We start from the raw sequence: 16,938 nt of genomic DNA on the forward strand, positions 1-16,938 counted from the left end.
GATTATAGAGAATATGCGATAAAGTGATAGATGAGGCTCAAAAGTTTGGTTGGCAACAAATGGCGACATGGCATCAATGCCATGTTACAAAGGATGACTATCCTATTAACATATAAAATGAGACCTCAGATATTTTAGGGCAGAGGGATGTCGTCATGGTTTATTTAGATAGCACATGGGGAGATACATGGATGATTGATTTGAGCCTAAAGGACAAGTGGAAGAGGGGCTATCTAGGCAACTCTTGTAAGAAACTGTTGAATGAAGAGAGTTTACAATATAGGGACTAAAAAGAAAGAAAATGCGGCATCAAGAGACATTTCTGAGGTGAAAACTCTGGGAGTGTGTGAGTGGCACTAGCATTGAATCAAAGATGACTTATGTTTACAGCTGAGGTGACTGAGTGGAAGAGCAAGAGAGCAACTAAGACTGGATCACAGAGAAGGGGTTGGATTAAAAGGAAGATACCTAGTGAGTTCTTGAACAGATCTGGCTTGCGGTATCAGGGACATCCATATGGAGATGCACAAAAGGTAGTTTGGGCTGTGTATTAGTCTGATCTCACACTGCTATAAAGAACTACCTGAGACTGGGTAATTTATGAAGAAAATAGGTTTAATTGACTGACAGATCCACAGGCTTAACAGAAAACATGACTGGTAGGCCTCAGGAAACTTATAATCATGGCAGAAAGTGAAAGGGAAGCAAGCATGTCTTACTATGGCAGAGCAGGGGAGAGAGAGAGACAGAGAAAGGGGAAGTGCCATAGACATTTAAACCACCAGATACCGTGAGAACTCATTCACTATGATGAGAACAGCAAGAGGGAAGTCCGCTCCATGATTTAGTCACCTCCCACCCAGCCTCTGCTTCAACATGTGGGGATTACAGTTTGACATGAGATTTGGGTGGGGACACAGAGCCAAATCATATCAGGCTGAAAGGCAAGCTCAGGGCAGAGATGTGGATTTTGGAAGCATCTCTATGCAGATAGCAGTCAAAATTATGGCAATGCATGAAATAGACCAAATAGTAGGTACAGTGTGAAGAAGAAAAGAAACCAGGTATAAAAGACTGGTGATCATGTAAAACACGGGTGAAAAAGGAAATGATGGTAGGACATCTTTATGGACACTTAGGACACCCCTCCACCCCCACCTCCTGACCCTTGGCCATATTTCTTTTTCTCTTTAAAATTTCCTTTGCTATAAATGATGAGCTGCTTCAAAATCTCCAGGGATTGCCTAGGCCCTGGACCTTGCTAGGAATTGCTCTAAAACCCACCCAGCTCTGCCAGGAAGGGCACAAGGGTTGCATTACAGTCCAAATAGCCACAGTAGCCATCCAGAACTCCTGAGTGACTGGATACTACTTTTTGCAACAATAACAAACTGCCCAGAACCTCAGTACTTATGATTTGTTCATTATTTTCTGCTTGTGGTATAGATCTCACATCCCGTAACTGTCTCCTGAAAGCTTAAGTACATCAATAATTTGTATTTATATATAGTGATTTTTTGTTGTTCACATGATGATTTCTCATTAATTATCTCCTTTGTTTTTCAAAATCACCACCAAAGGGAAGCATTGTTTTTACTCTCATTTTACAGCTGAGGCAGCAGAGGCTCACAGTAATTTTTCCCAAGATCTCATAGTTAGAATATTGTCCAACCTAGGATTTTAGATATTAAACTCCAGGCTATTTTCCCTACTTTCAGTTCTTGTCCCTAAACTGTTAACAGGTCATCCATACGTGCAGGCTCAGTTAGATGTTTTTTTTCTTTCAGATCAGATATAATGGCCCACATGATCTCATTTATATGTGGAATCTAAAAACGTTGAACTCATAAAAGTAGAGGGTAGATTCCTGGTGGCTGCCAGGAGCTGGAGGCAGGGTGTGGGGCAAGGGCGATGGGAAAAGAAGATATTAGTCAAGGTTTCAAAGTTTCAATTAGGCAAAAGGAATAAGTTTTAAATATCTATTTCACAGCATGATGATTATAGTTAATAATATGTAACGTATATTTAAAATTACTATGATGATAGATTTTAAATATTTGCACCACAAAATAATGACATATTAGTCTGTTTTCTTACTGCTGATAAAGACATACCCAAGACTGGGCAATTTACAAAAGAAAGACATTTATTGAAATTATAGTTCCTTGTGGCCAGGGAGGCCTCACAATCATGGTGGAAGGTGAAAGGCAATGTCTCACATGGCGGCAGAAAAGAGAAGAGAGCTTGTGCAGGGAAACTCCCCTTTTTTAAAACTGTCATATCTCATGAGACTTATTCACTATCACGAGAACAGCACAGGAAAGACCTGCCCCCATGATTCAGTTACCTCCCACCAGGTCCTTCACACAACATGTGAGAATCCAAGATGAGATTTGGGTGGGGACACAGCCAAACCATGTCAAATGGTAAGCATGTGAGGTGATGGATCTGTTAATTAGCTTGATTTAATTATTCTATAACATATTTATATATCAAAACATCACACTGTACTGCATAAATATTATTATTTGCTAATTAAAAAACAAAAATATATAATAGTTCAGTCATCTCATCAGCTAGAAACTTCCTAATACATATGTTAATTTCTCCCCTGGTTAGGGAGAAGATTGGCACCCTTTCGTTTAGATGCTACCACTGCTGTTAACTGTACTTTTGTCCTTGAGGCTATATCAAGGGCATCTTCTATTGATTAACATATGGTAACCACATAAGGTAAATTGCTAATTGGAATCAGCAGTGCATATAAAGTTATTTTTTTTTACCCTGAAACAATATTGTAGTAAGAAACAAACAAATAAAACCTTTGCTTAGTCAGGATGCTAGGGTGTGGCTTGCCCCTCATTAGAAGCCACACAGTTGTTGACTAAAAAACCACTGCAGCCTTGGGGTTGTCTGAAGAAGAAGAGTTGCATGATGTTCAAATATCTTTGGTGACAATGAAAGTCTTCATGCCAATGGTAAACTGGCCAAAAAATGTTTATTAAGAGAAAGAAAGTAATATCTTAACAGATGATTTTGAAGCACACTGTGAGGTGTAACTTTTTTATATTATCTTTTTAAAATCAAAACCTTTTTTCTACATCTTACTTTTTGATGATAGTATCACAATAAATTACTGTGTACAAAGCTGTATCTGTTTATATATTTCAGAAATGTAATACACACACAGATACACACATACATGTGGAATAAATTTTATAGGGTGGTATACAGTTTTATGTAAAATTACCATGGACTTTTTATACAAAGTATTCCATAAGACTGATCCAGTGGTTGAGGTGAAATGGAACTGAACATACAGATTTTAAATACTTACTATGGTTCAAGAGTTAATTTTAATATTTTATTAAAAAATGCTTCCTTTGAGTGTTCACAATATCATTATAATATCCTATTACTACCTGGAATTATCACAGTAATGTTGTAGGGTAAGTATTATTATCCTTTCTTTGAAGAAAGGCTCAGAGATACTGAGTAACTCACCTAAGATCACAAAACTAGGAAATGGTCAAACCAGAATTAAAACTACAATTTGTCAGGCTCCTAAGTTCTCCCTCATGATCACTATTCCTGCCTTGCTCAAGATTACATTGCACCAGCCAGAAGAAGTATGGGAATTCAGGTGTGCTAACTTCCTTCCTAGAGTTCTTTTCTTTGTTTTGTTCTGTTTTCAAATAGGTAAACTGACATGAGGCTCATGTTAGTTTAGATTCCAGATACCTAAAGAAATGGTTTCAAAGCTTCTTCTCACAAGCCACAGATTGGGACTCCTGAAAATTTTCTTCATGTGTTTCTTGGCATCATGGAGTTCTTCTCTTCCCATAATTCCAAATAGCACTGGACTTCCAGGATCAATGTCATGACAAGGTCAAGGTCAAGTTCACCCCAATAGACGCATGACAAAGTTGCTAAAGGGCAGCTGGACATAGTTCAGTGAGTGACAGAAAAACGCCCTTATGAGGGGAGATCTGGCGAGAGGACTAATGAAGCTGGTTAATGTCTCTCAATGTGCTTGCATTATTCAGTTTCAAAGAGCTGAACAAAGATACAGGGAAAACAACACTTGCCTCAAATGGCCAACAATTAAATTCGCCCCCACAGACAAGCCAGACTCAGTTCAGCCATCTGCTAGTCATCCAAAGGAAGGAAGAGACATGACTGGAGAGTCACAGGAAATGGTTTTGTGACCTAGATAGCAGCTGTAGAATTAGGACCTTTGTTCTTAGTTTGGCCACATAGTAAATTGTAAATCCTAAAGGATGTGTATGTGATAAATTTTACATATGCATCATATATGAATATATGATACAAATATACACATATTTAAGCATGTATTTTTATTACAGACACTTTTCTGTTTTTGTTGAGACAGAGTCTCGCTCTGCCACCCAGGCTGGAGTGCAGTGGCGCGATCTTGGCCCACTGCAAGCTCCGCCTCCCGGGTTCACGCCATTCTCCTGCCTCAGCCTCCCGAGTAGCTGGGACTACAGGCGCCCGCCACCACGCCCGGCTAATTTTTTGTATTTTTAGTAGAGATGGGGTTTCACCATGTTAGCCAGGATGGTCTCGATCTCCTGACCTCGTGATCCACCAGCCTCGGCCTCCCAAAGTGCTGGGATTACAGGCATGAGCCACCGCGCCCGGCCCAGACACTTTTCTGTTTTATACTTGTTTCATTTATGTAGGAATATGTATTGTAAATAAATGCACATACATGCATAAATATAGACACAAACACACATATGGATACAGACACATACACACACTCATCATATAGTCAGAGTAGCAGAAATCTTAGAAATCAGCCTGCTTCTGTTGTTTCATTCATGAAGAAACAAGAACTCAAAAAAATATTTAATTCACCAAAGACACACAGTTAGATGTAGATGTTGCTAGAAGTTTATAGAGTTCTTATAAGTTCCTACCTAAATCTCTATCTATCTGATTCTAGGCTGTGGAATCAGGCAGAACCTAGGATAGAATGCCGTATCCATCAATTACCAATTATTCTGAGATACCACTTTTTGATTTGTAAAATGAATACAATAATCTCTATTTTAAATGGGGTGACATAAAGGCTAAGTGAGGCCAACTGTGTGAGGCCTCCATCACTATACCTGTACATAGAGGCTGCTCAATAAACAGTCCTTTTCTCCCAATTTTCATTGTCTACAGCTATGCAATATGCATTATCCTATAAATTTACTATTGAGTTAATATGCTTGATTTAACCTTCATGTCCACTTAATTTTCAAAATTATTTTTAGCCACTGGTTGGTTGAATAGATAGAGATGGATTTAAAGTAATAGAAAAGCAGCAGTTGTAACTTAGAACAAACCATGACTTGGGTATGTCTATATCACTTTCGGTCTCACACACTCCACACAGGGCTGCATTCTGTGGAAGGGTCTTGTATTATCTATGAATATGCACTGTTTTTCCTAGTTCAGGCATACAAAGATCAGTACTGTAATGTGGAAAAAAAAAAAAACCCTTGAAGAATGCAATTCTCATTTGTTTCTTTGAAACTTTGTTTTTGAGAATTTCATTCCACTTAACTCAGGACTCTCAGCCTGCCCTGATAATTTATATCTACATTTCAAAGACTATGAATCATAAATGCATATTTCCATCTATTGTACAATCTCTCAACATTGCTTAAAGGAGAGTGAGTGGATTCTTTTTAAATCTAATCTTCCCAGTACTCATCCAGGAAATTTCAAATCCAACAACTTTTCATTCAGATGGGTGTATGTTGTTTCTTGTTCTTTTTTTCAGTACAAACTTCTGAAACCAGCAATAGCAAATATGTGTGCACATTGATTTACCCTAACATGAATAACTGTTTTCCCCAGGGTGAAATTGAAAAATAAAATGAGTGAATGATGGAGAAAATTGAGTAGCTAGGGATTCTAAATGGCCTTTGGTTTGAATTAAGTATTGTACTCCACTTCTGAGTAGTTGAAATCTGTTATTCTACCCCTTGAATTTTCCTTATTTCTTTTGTCCTGTCTTTCTGCCTTTCAGGCAACTGCCATGCTTTGAATGTATGTGTCTCTTCAAAATTCTTAACTGCCAATGTGATAGTATTAGGAGGTGAGGACTTTAGGGGGTAATTAAATCATGAGGGCAGAGCCATCCTGAATGGGATTAATGTTTTTAAAGAAAGGTGTAAGGGAGCTGTTCATCCCTTCTGCCATGTGGGAGCACACTAAGGGGGGCCATCTTGAAAACAGAGAGATGCCCTCACCAGACACCTAAGCTGCCAGCACATTTATCTTGAAATTCCTTGCCTCCAGAACTGTGAGACAATACATTTCTGTTCCTTTTAAATGACCCAGTCTTGGGTATTTTGTTATAGAAGCATGAACAAATTAAGACAGCAACATACTTAAAAAAAAGTTAGCACTGACTATCTATATGTTAGGCACTGTGCTAGTCAATGCAGATATTGACATAGATGTCCTATGTTTTAAAGTGTCTGCAGGCTAGCAAGGGAGAGAGAAACACATAACCATAAACCAAAGTGGCAAATCCACTCTTGTCCCAGAAAGTGAGCTGCTGATGTAAATTTAGTCTCTCAGATAGAATTTCTGTTGCAAAGAGACTATAATGACTAGCTGACAAAAATGTTCCTTTCGGTTTCCTTAGTATAATTATGTTTCTCATATAAATGAATAAATTGACATGTTGGCTTCTAAGTAAATTTTTTGGACTGTGGTGAGTTATTTCTCAAGATCCAGTTGCCACAGGGTGAAATGACAAAACCACAGGACTGACTCCATCTTGCTGAGAAAGTGCTCCGAACACTCAGTAGTTCCAACAAGATGCAGGCCCCCTCATGAGATTCAGCCTGAAGTGTCCACACCGAATATCCCATTACAGCAGCTAGTAAGGAATGGGATAAGTTGTATTTGGGGCTGTCAAAAATGCTTTGAGGTAAATCTCTAGTTGAAGTAACAATTGGGCAGAGACAAAAAGAGAGCAAATATTTGTTGAGTTTCTAGAACATTGTTTTATGTGCTTAGCTTAGAGCAGCTGTTAATTATCTTAAATCACACATTCAGTAAGTAGTAGGTCTTAAATTTGAATCTAAATACACATTCTGCCTATTTTGCTTTTTCAAGAATATTATTAGAGACTATATCAAGAACTGTAAGGTATTTTATGCTTTTTAGAATAGCATTTTCCTAAAAAAGTATTCCTAGGAAATAATAAGAGATGCACAGAAAGGATATCAAGAGTGATCACATTGTGTAATTTATACTAACAAATAAACTGGAAACAACCAAGAGAATCAGCAAGGTAAATGTGGATAAATGAATTACAATGTAGTCATATGATGGACCGTTATACACAAAATTAAAAGCAGCGTTTCATGACAGGAAACATTTTAAGATGTAATGTTAAATATCAAAACAAGAATGCAAAATTTTGAAGTGTATGATTTCACCACGATTTTAACATGCACAGAAAAAAATTGTAAAGGAAATTAAGTGCTTATCTCTAGATGATGAACATACAAGTTAATTTAATTTCTTTTTACTTTTCAGTAATTTTCAAATTTTCTAATATTAAACATATTATTGTAAAGCAATGAAATATTTTTATAGAATTATATTAATCAAGGTGCTTCATATAGTGATTGCAAGTTTTAGGCTGCTGCCACCTGTTTAGTGGGTACAGGGATGCCACCACCCCACTCCTGCTGGTGACCCCTCCCAGCTCATGTGCGTGCACCCTGTGGGGATGCTGTGGCTAGTCGTACATGCAAGTGAGCACAGATCCTGCTGCCACTGCCCTGAGTAAGTGCTTTGACTGCCTCCCCCACGTCAGAGTATTGTGGCCAGTGGGCCAAGAACACCTCAGTCCCTCAAGTACAACAGGTTCCTAATCTTGAGGGGCCAGAAAATGAAGCCCAGAGTAAGGACACACAGCCAAGGAGTGCTGAGTTGAGCCTTCCCCGCTTAAATCTTACAGAAACAAAGCCTGTCAACCTTATTCCACAATAAAATCCCCAAGGGCATCAAAGAAGATAAAAGCGAAAAGAAAAAAAAAATCCAAAGGACAGCAACTTTAAAGACTGAAGGAACATCAGCACACCTAGGTGAGAAAGAAACAGAGAAAGAACTCTGGCAACTTAAAAAGGCTTCCTACCTTCAAATGACTGCACTATTTCCCCAGCAATGGTTCTTAACCAGCCTGAAATGGCTAAAATGTCAGAAATAGAGTTCAGAATATGGATTAATGAAGATCACTGAGATTCAGGAGAAAGTCAAAACCCAATCCAAGGATACTAAGGAATACAATAAAATAATACAGGAACTGAAATTTGAAAAGGTTATTTTAAGAAAGAATCAGATTTGACAGAGCTGGAAAACTCACTTCAAGTATTTCATGATACAATCACAAGCATTAACAGCAGAATAGAGCAGCTGAGGAAAGAATCTCAGAGCTCGAAGATTCGTTCTGTAAAATTACTCAGTCAGACAATAAAGAAAAAAGAATAGAAAGGAAAGAACAAAACCTCTGAGGAATATGGAATTGTGAAGAGAGACCAAATTGATGACTTATTGGAATTCTTGAAAGAGAAGGAGAGAAAGCAAGCAACTTGAAAAACATATTTGAGGATATTGTCTATGAAAAATCCCCCAACCTTGCTAGAGAGGTCGAGATTCAATTTGAGGAAATGCAGTAACCCCTGTGAGATACTATCTGAAATGAACTACGCCAAGACACATAGTCATCAAATTTTCTAAGATCGAAATGAAAGAAAAAATGTTAAAGGCAATTAGAGAGAAGGGGCAGGTCACCTACAAAGGGAACCCAAGCAGGCTAACAGCAGATCTTTTAGAAGAAACCCTACAAGCCAGAAGAGATTGCGGGCCTATATTTAGCATTCATAAAGAAAAAAAATTCAACCAAGAATTTCATATCCAGCCAAACTAAGCTTTGTAAATAGAAGAGAAATATGATCCTTTTCCAAAGAGCAAATGCTAAAAGAATTTATTACCACCATACCTGCCTTACAAGAAGTCTTTAAGGGAGAGATATATATGGAAAAGGAAGATGGTTACTGGCCACCAGAAAAACACACTAAAGTACATAGACCATTGCCAATGTAAAGGAACTACACAATCAAGTCTGCATAACAACCACCTAACAAGATGATGACAGGATCCAATCCACACATATTAATATTAACCTTGAATGTAAATGGGCTAAAGCCCCTGTTAAGAGGCTCAGAGTGGCAAGTTGAATAAAGAAGCAAGGTCCAACTTCAAGAGACTCATCTCACATGCAATGACACTTGTAGGCTCAAAGTAAAGGGATGGAGAAAAATCTACCAAGCAAAGAGAAAACAGATTCACAACTGAATTCTATCAGACATCTGGTCCTGGGCTATTTCTGGTTGGTAGGTTTTTTATTACTGATTCCATTTCAGACGTCATTATTGGTCTACTCAGGATTTCAATGTTTTCCTGGTTCAATATTGGGAAGTTGTATGTTTCCAGGAATATATCCATTTGTTCTATGTGTTGCACTTTGTGTGCATAGAGGGGTTAAAAATAGTCCCCAAAGGGCTTTTGTATTTATGTAAGATTGGTTTTAATGTCACCTTTATTATTTCTGATTGTATTTACTTGGATCTTTTTGTTTTTTCTTTATTAGTCCAGCAAGGAGTCTATCAATCTTATTTATTCTATCAAAAAAAAATTCCTGGATCTGTTGATCTTTTATATGGTTTTTCACCTCTCAATTTCATTCTGTACTCCTCTGATTTTGGTTATTTCTTGTCTTGTATTAGCTTGGGGTTTGGTTTGCTCTTTTTTTGTTGTTGTTGTTGTTGTTTGTTCATTTAGTTCCTTTAGGTGTAATGCTAAGTTGTTAATTTGATATCTTTCTAACTTTTTGTTTTGGGTGTTTAGTGCTATAAACTTCCCTCTTAACATTGCTTTAGCTGTGTCTCAGAGATTCTAGTATGTTGTATCTGTGTTTTCATTACTTTTGAAGAATTTCTTGATTTCTGCCATAATTTCCTTGTTTACTCAAAAGTTATTCACAAGCAGGTTGTTTAATTTCCATATAATTCTATGGTTTTGAGAGATTTTCTCAGTATTGATTGCTATTTTTATTGTGCTGTGGTCCAAGAATGTGGTTGGTATGATTTAGGTTTTTTGAATGTGCTGAGGATTGTTTTACAGCCAATTTCATGGTCATTTTAGAGCATATGCCATATGCAGATAACAGAAATGTATATTCTGTTATTCTGGGGTAGAGCTTGCTGTAGATACCTACTAGGTCCATTTAGTTAACTGTGGAATTCAGTTCCAAAATATCTTTGTTAATTTTCTGCCTTGATGGTCTGCCTAATACTTTCAGTGGGGTGTTGATGTCTTCCACTGTTATTGTGTGGTTATTTAAGTCACTTTGTAGGTCTCTAATAACCTGTTTTATGAATCTTGGTGCTCCCGCATTGGGTACACACATATTCAGGCTTGATAGGTCTTGTTGAATTGAGCCCTTTACCATTATGTCATGCTACATTAAGGGAGAATCCTGTGGGGCAAAAGAATCTGAACAGCAGACCTTGAGTTCCAGGTCTTCCCTCTGATATAGTCTACTGAAAAGAGAAGGAACCAGAAAAATAATTCTGGTAATATGACAAAGGTTCTTTAACCCCCAAAAGATCACACTAGCTCACCAGCAATGGATCCAAACCAAGAACAAATCCCTGAATTGCCAGAAAAAGAATTCAGAAGGTCAATTTTTAAGCTAATCAAGGAGGCATCAGAGAAAGATGAAGTCCAAATTAATGAAATTTAAAAAAGGATGTTACAAGACATGAAGGGAAAAATCTTCAATGAAATAGACAGCATACATAAAATGCTACTTCTGGAAATCAAGGACACACTTAGAGAAACATGAAGTGCACTGGAAAGTCTTAGAAATGAAATCGAACAAGCAGAAAAAAAAAAACTTCAGAGCTCAAAGACAAGGTTTTGAAAGTAACCCAATCCAACAAAGAGTTTAAAGTAAACAGAATTTTATGAAATGGTCAAAGTCTCCCAGAAATTTGGGATTATGTTAAACAGCGAAACCTAGGAATAATTGGTGTTCCTGAGGAAGAAGAGAAATCGAAAAGTTTGGAAAACATATTTAAGGGAATAATTGAGGAAAACTTCCCCAGCCTTGCTAGAGATCTAGACATCCAAATACAAGAAGCTCAAAGAACACCTAGGAAATTTATCACAAAAAGATCATTGCTAGGCACATAGTCATCAGGTTATCTAAAGTCAAGACAAAGGAAAGAATCTTAAGGGCTGTGAGGCAAAAGCACCAGGTAACCTATAAAGAAAAACCTATCATATTAAGTGAAGGTTTCTCAGCAGAAACCCTACAAGCTAGAAGGGATTGGGGCTCTATCTTTGGCCTCCTTAAACAAAACAATGATCAGCTAAGAATTTTGTATCCAGTGAAACTAAGTTTCAGATATGAAGGAAAGATACAGTCTTTTTTCAGACACACAATTGCTGAGAGAATTCACCACTTCCAAGCCAGCACTGCAAGAACTGCTAAAAGGAGCTCTAAATCTCAAAACTATTCCTTGAAACACACCAAAATAGAACCCCTTTAAAGGATAAATCTCACAAAACCTAGAAAACAAAAACACAATAAATAATAATAATAAACCAAGGTATTCAGGCAACAACTACCACAATGAATACAATAGTACCTCACATCTCAATACTAACATTGAATGTAAATGGCCTAAATGTGCAACTTAAAAGATACGATGGCAGAATGGATAATAATTCACCAACCAAGTATATGCTGTCTTCAAGAAATTCGTCTAACACATTACGACACACATAAACTTAAGGTAAACTCATAGCAAAACAGTACTGTGGTGAACTGGGGACAGATTTGCTGCTACTGCTGCTGCTGCCACTGCCACCACCTCTACCTTCTGTTGCATGGATAAACTGAGGGATGTGGCACTGTTGTGAGAGTCTTACAAATTCCAGGCAGGTACTCCTAGCTGGGACCCGACAATTCAGTTTGCACCCCAAGGCTCTAAATCTCAGCTCCCCTAGGTCCTGGTACCATGTCTTTGGAAGACACACACAGAAAGGACTTAGATACCTTCTGAAAAGGATGGGACAAATAAAACTTATATTCCCTCCTCTCCTCTTGCTTGGAAGATCATTTAAGATTAGGAGATGAAGTGACTTTTCCCACTGAAGGGGACACAGAGGAAACTATGATTAGGAGTTTCCAGACACCTGTGTTCCAGCCATGGTTTCCCTATGTCCTCGCCTTGGGACCCAGCACTACTTACTAAACCTTTTTGAGTAACAGTTTCCTTATCTATAAACAGGAATAATAATAGGACCAACTGCACAGAGCTGTTGTGAAGGAAAAAAATAATCCATGCAAATGAACACCCAAAATGAGCAGGACTGGCTATTCTTATATCAGACAAAACAAACTTTAAAGTGACAGCAGTTAAAAAAGACAAAGAGTGACATTATATAATGATAAAAGGATCAGTCCAACAGGAAAATGTCACAATCCAAAATACATATGCACCTACCACTAGAGCTCCCAAATTTATAAAACAATTACTACTACACCTAAGAAATGAGATAGACAGCAACATAATAATAGTGAAGGACTTCAATGCTCTACTGACAGCACTAGACAGGTCATCAAGAAAGAAAGTCAACAAAGAAACAATGGATTTAAACTACACCCTAGAACAGATGGACTTAACAGATATTTACAGAATGTTCTGCCCAACAACAGCTGAATATACATTCTATTCATCAGCACACGAAACATTTTAGAAGATAGACCATATGATAGCTCACAAAACAAGTCTCAATAAGTTTAAGAAAATTGGAATTATATCAAGTACTCTGTCAGACCACAATGGAATAAAATTGAAAATTAACTTTAAAAGGACACTCAAAAGTGTGCAAATACATGAATATTAAATAACCTGCTCCTGAATGATTGTTGGGTCAACAACGAAATCAAGATAAACATTAAAAAATTCTTTGAGACTGGGTGCAGTGGCTCACGCCTGTAATCCCAACACTTTGGGAGGCCAAGGTGGGTGGACCCCTTGAGCCCAGGAGTTCAAGACCAGCCTGGCCAATATGGTGAAACCCTGTCTCTACTAAAAATACAAAAATTAGCTAGGTGTGGTAGCACATGCTCGTAATCCCAGCTACTTGGGAGGCTGAGGCAGTAAAATCGCTTAAACCCAGGAGGTGGAGGTTGCAGTGAGCTGAGACTGTGCCACTGCACTCCAGCCTGGTTGACAGAGCAAGGATCTATCTCAAAAACATAAAATAAAATATAAAATAAATTCTTTGAACTGAACAGTAATAGTGACACTTATCTCTCCTCCTTTCCCAAACATTATAAAAACCCTGTTTCTCTAACTGTACAACTACAAAGTCACTAAAAAAAACCTCAAGATGTAAAACATGTTTTTCCTTAAAAAATAAAAAATAATACATGTCTCAATTAATTAAATAACTGTCTTTGTTTCTCACTTCTATAATATAGTTTCCCCTGCACAAATTTCCCCCCGCCTCATGAAATACTTAAAAAATAACTTAACTCTTGGTTCAAAACTCAGTCCTTTAAATATTAATCCAACTAGACCAGTAGACCTAAATAATAAATATCCTCCTAAACCCCATCAGTCTCTCTAGTTCCTTAAAAATCCTATCAAAACCTATCAAAGTCTCTGGAATACAGCAAAGGCACTGCTAAGAGAAAAGCTCAAAGCCTTAAATGTCTACATCAAAAAGTCTGAAAGAGCAAAAATAGACAATCTATGGACACACCTCAAGGAACTAGAGAAACAAGAACAAACCAGTCCCAAACCCAGCAGAAGAAAAGAAATAACAAAGATCAGAGAATAACTAAACTAAACTGATACAAACAAATAAAACACAAACAAACAAAAAACAATACAAAAGACAAATGAAAAAAGCTGGTTCTTTGAAAAGGTAAGCAAAATTGATAGGCCCTTTAGTGAGATTAACCAACAAAAGAAGAGAAAGATCCAAACAGGCTAAATTAGATATGAAACAGGAGATATTACAACCTATGCCACAGAAATACAAAAGATCATTTGAGGCTACTATGAATAACTTTATGCACATAAACTAGAAAACCTAAAGGAGATGGATAAACCCCTGGAAATATACAGTCTTTCTAGATTAAACCAGGAGGAAACAGATACTCTGAACAGAGCAATAGCAAACGGTGACATTGAAATAGTAATTAAAAAGTTACCAACAAAAAAAGTCCAGAACTAGATGGATTCATAGCTGAATTCTATCAGATAATCAAAGAAGAATTGGTATCAATCCTATCGACACTATTCCACAACAGAGAGAAAGAGGGAATCCTCCCTAAATCATTCAATGAAGCCAGTATCACTCTAATACCAAAACCAGGAAAGGACATAACATAAAAAGGAAACTACAGACCAATATCCCTGATGAATACAGATGCCAAAATCCTTAACAAAATACTAACTAACCAAATCCAACAGCATATCAAAAAGATAATGCATCATGATCAAGTGGGTTTCATATGAGGGATGCAGGGATGATTTAACACACACACGTTGTATTAGTCCATTCTCATGCTACTATGATGAAAGACCTAAGACTGGGTAATTTATAAAAGAAAAATAGGTTTAATTGACTCACAGTTCTGCATGGCTGGAGAGGCCTCAGGAAATTTACAATCAAGGCAGAAGGCACCTCTTCACAGGGTGGCAGGAGAGAGAATAAGTACTGAGTGAAGGGGGAAACCCCTTATAAAACCATTGGATCTTGTGAGAGCTCACTCGCTATCACAACATGGGGGAAACTGTCACGATGATTCAATTATCTCCATCTGGTCCTGCTCTTGATATGTGATGATTATTACAATTCATGGTGAGATTTGGGTGGGGACACAGAGCCAAACCATATCATTCTGCCCCTGGCCACTCGCAAATCTCATGTCCTCACAATTTGAAACAATCACAGCCTTTCAACAATCCCCCTAAGCCTTAACTCATTCCAGCATTAACCCAAAAGTCAAAGTCCAAAGTCTTATCTGATACAAGGCAAGGACCTTCTTCCTACGAACCTGTAAAATCACAAACAAGTTAGTCACTTCCTAGATACAACAGGGGTACAGGCATTGGATAAATACACCTGTTCCAAATGGGAGAAAATAGCTAAAACAAACGGGCCACAGGTCCCATGCAAGTTCAAAATTCAATAGGGCAGTCATTAAACCTTAAAGTTCCAAAATGATCTCCTCTGACTCCGTGTCTCACATCCAGGTTACACTGATGCAAGAGGTGGGCTCCTATGGCCTTGGGCCACTCCAGCCCTGTGGCTTTGCAGGGTACAGACCCCCACCATGGGTACTTTAGTGGGCTGGCATTGAGTGTCTGTGGCTTTTCCAGGTGCATGGTGCAAGCTGTCAATGGATCTACCATTTTGGGGTTTGGAGGACAGTGGCCCTCTTCTCACAGCTCCACTAGGCAGTGCCCTAATGGGGACTCTGTGTGGGGGTTTCAATCCCACATTTCCCTTCTGCACTGTCCTGGCAGAAGTTCTCCATGAGAGCCCTGCCCCTGCAGCAAACTTCTGCCTGGACATACAGGTGTTTCCATACATCCTCTGAAATCTAGGCGGAGGTTCCCAAACCAGAATTCTTGACTTCTGTGCATTCACGGACTCAACACCATGTGGAATCTGCCAAAGCTTGGGGCTTGCACCCTCTGAAGTAATGGCACAAGCTTTACCTTGACCCCTTTTAGCCATGGCTGGAGCTAAAGCAGCTGGAATGCAGGACCCCATATCCTGAGGCTGCACAGAGCAGGGGGGCCCTGGACCTGGCCCACTAAACCATTTTTTCCTTCTAGGCCTCTGGGCCTGTGATGGGAGGGACTGCCGGGAAGGTCTTGATATGCTCTGGAGATATTTTCCCCATTGTATTAGTGATTACCATTCAGTTCCTTATTATTTCTGCAAATTGCTGCAGCAGGCTTGAATTTCTCTACAGAAAATGGGTTTTTATTTTCTACTTCATCATCAGGCTGCAAATTTTCCAAACTTTTATGCTCTGTCATATCTTGAATGCTTTGCTGCTTAGAAATTTCTTCCACCAGATATCCTAAATCATCTCTCTCAAGTTCAAAGTTCCACAGATCTCTAGGGTAGGGGCAAAAAGCTGCCAGTCTCTTTGCTAAAGCATAGCAAGAGTCACCTTTACTCCAGTTCCCAACAAATTTCCCATCTCCATCTGAATTCACCTCAGCCAGGACTTCATTGTCCATATTACTATCAGCATTTTGATCAAAGCTATTCAACAAGTCTCTAGGAAGTTCCAAAGTTTCCCATATCTTCCTGTCTTCTGAGCTCTCCAAACTATTCCAAACTCTGCCTGTTATCCAGTTAGAAAGTTGCTTGCACATTTTCAGGTATCTTTACAGCAGAACCCTACTTCTGGTACCAATTTACTGGTACCAGAAGTATTCGTTGATTCTCATGCTGCTGTGAAGAAATACCTGAGACTGAATAATTTATTAAAAAAAGAGGTTTCATTGACTCACAGTTTCACATGGCTGGGGAGGCCTCAGGATACTTACAATCATGGCAGAAGGCACCTCTTCATATGGTGGCAAGAGAGAATGAGAGCCAAGTGAAAGGGAAAGCCCCTTATAAAACCCATGGTATAAAACCCAGATACCATGATAACTTACTCAATACCATGAGAATGACATGGGGGAAACTGACCCCATGATTCAATTATCTCCACCTCGTCCTGCCCTTGACACATGGGGATTATCACTTAAAACAGAGCTACCATTTGACCCAGCAATC

General features: G+C 38.4%; 1 annotated feature.

Moving 5' to 3' along the window:
* Positions 675 to 724: an enhancer, noted in NCBI's record as "active region_5453". NCBI's record gives its function as "activates an Ori minimal core promoter by ATAC-STARR-seq in GM12878 lymphoblastoid cells {active_cell/tissue: GM12878}" and the evidence as "EXISTENCE:reporter gene assay evidence [ECO:0000049][PMID:35858748]".

The sequence above is a fragment of the Homo sapiens genome, chromosome 11, assembly GCF_000001405.40.
Source record: "Homo sapiens chromosome 11, GRCh38.p14 Primary Assembly".
NCBI lineage: Eukaryota > Metazoa > Chordata > Mammalia > Primates > Hominidae > Homo > Homo sapiens.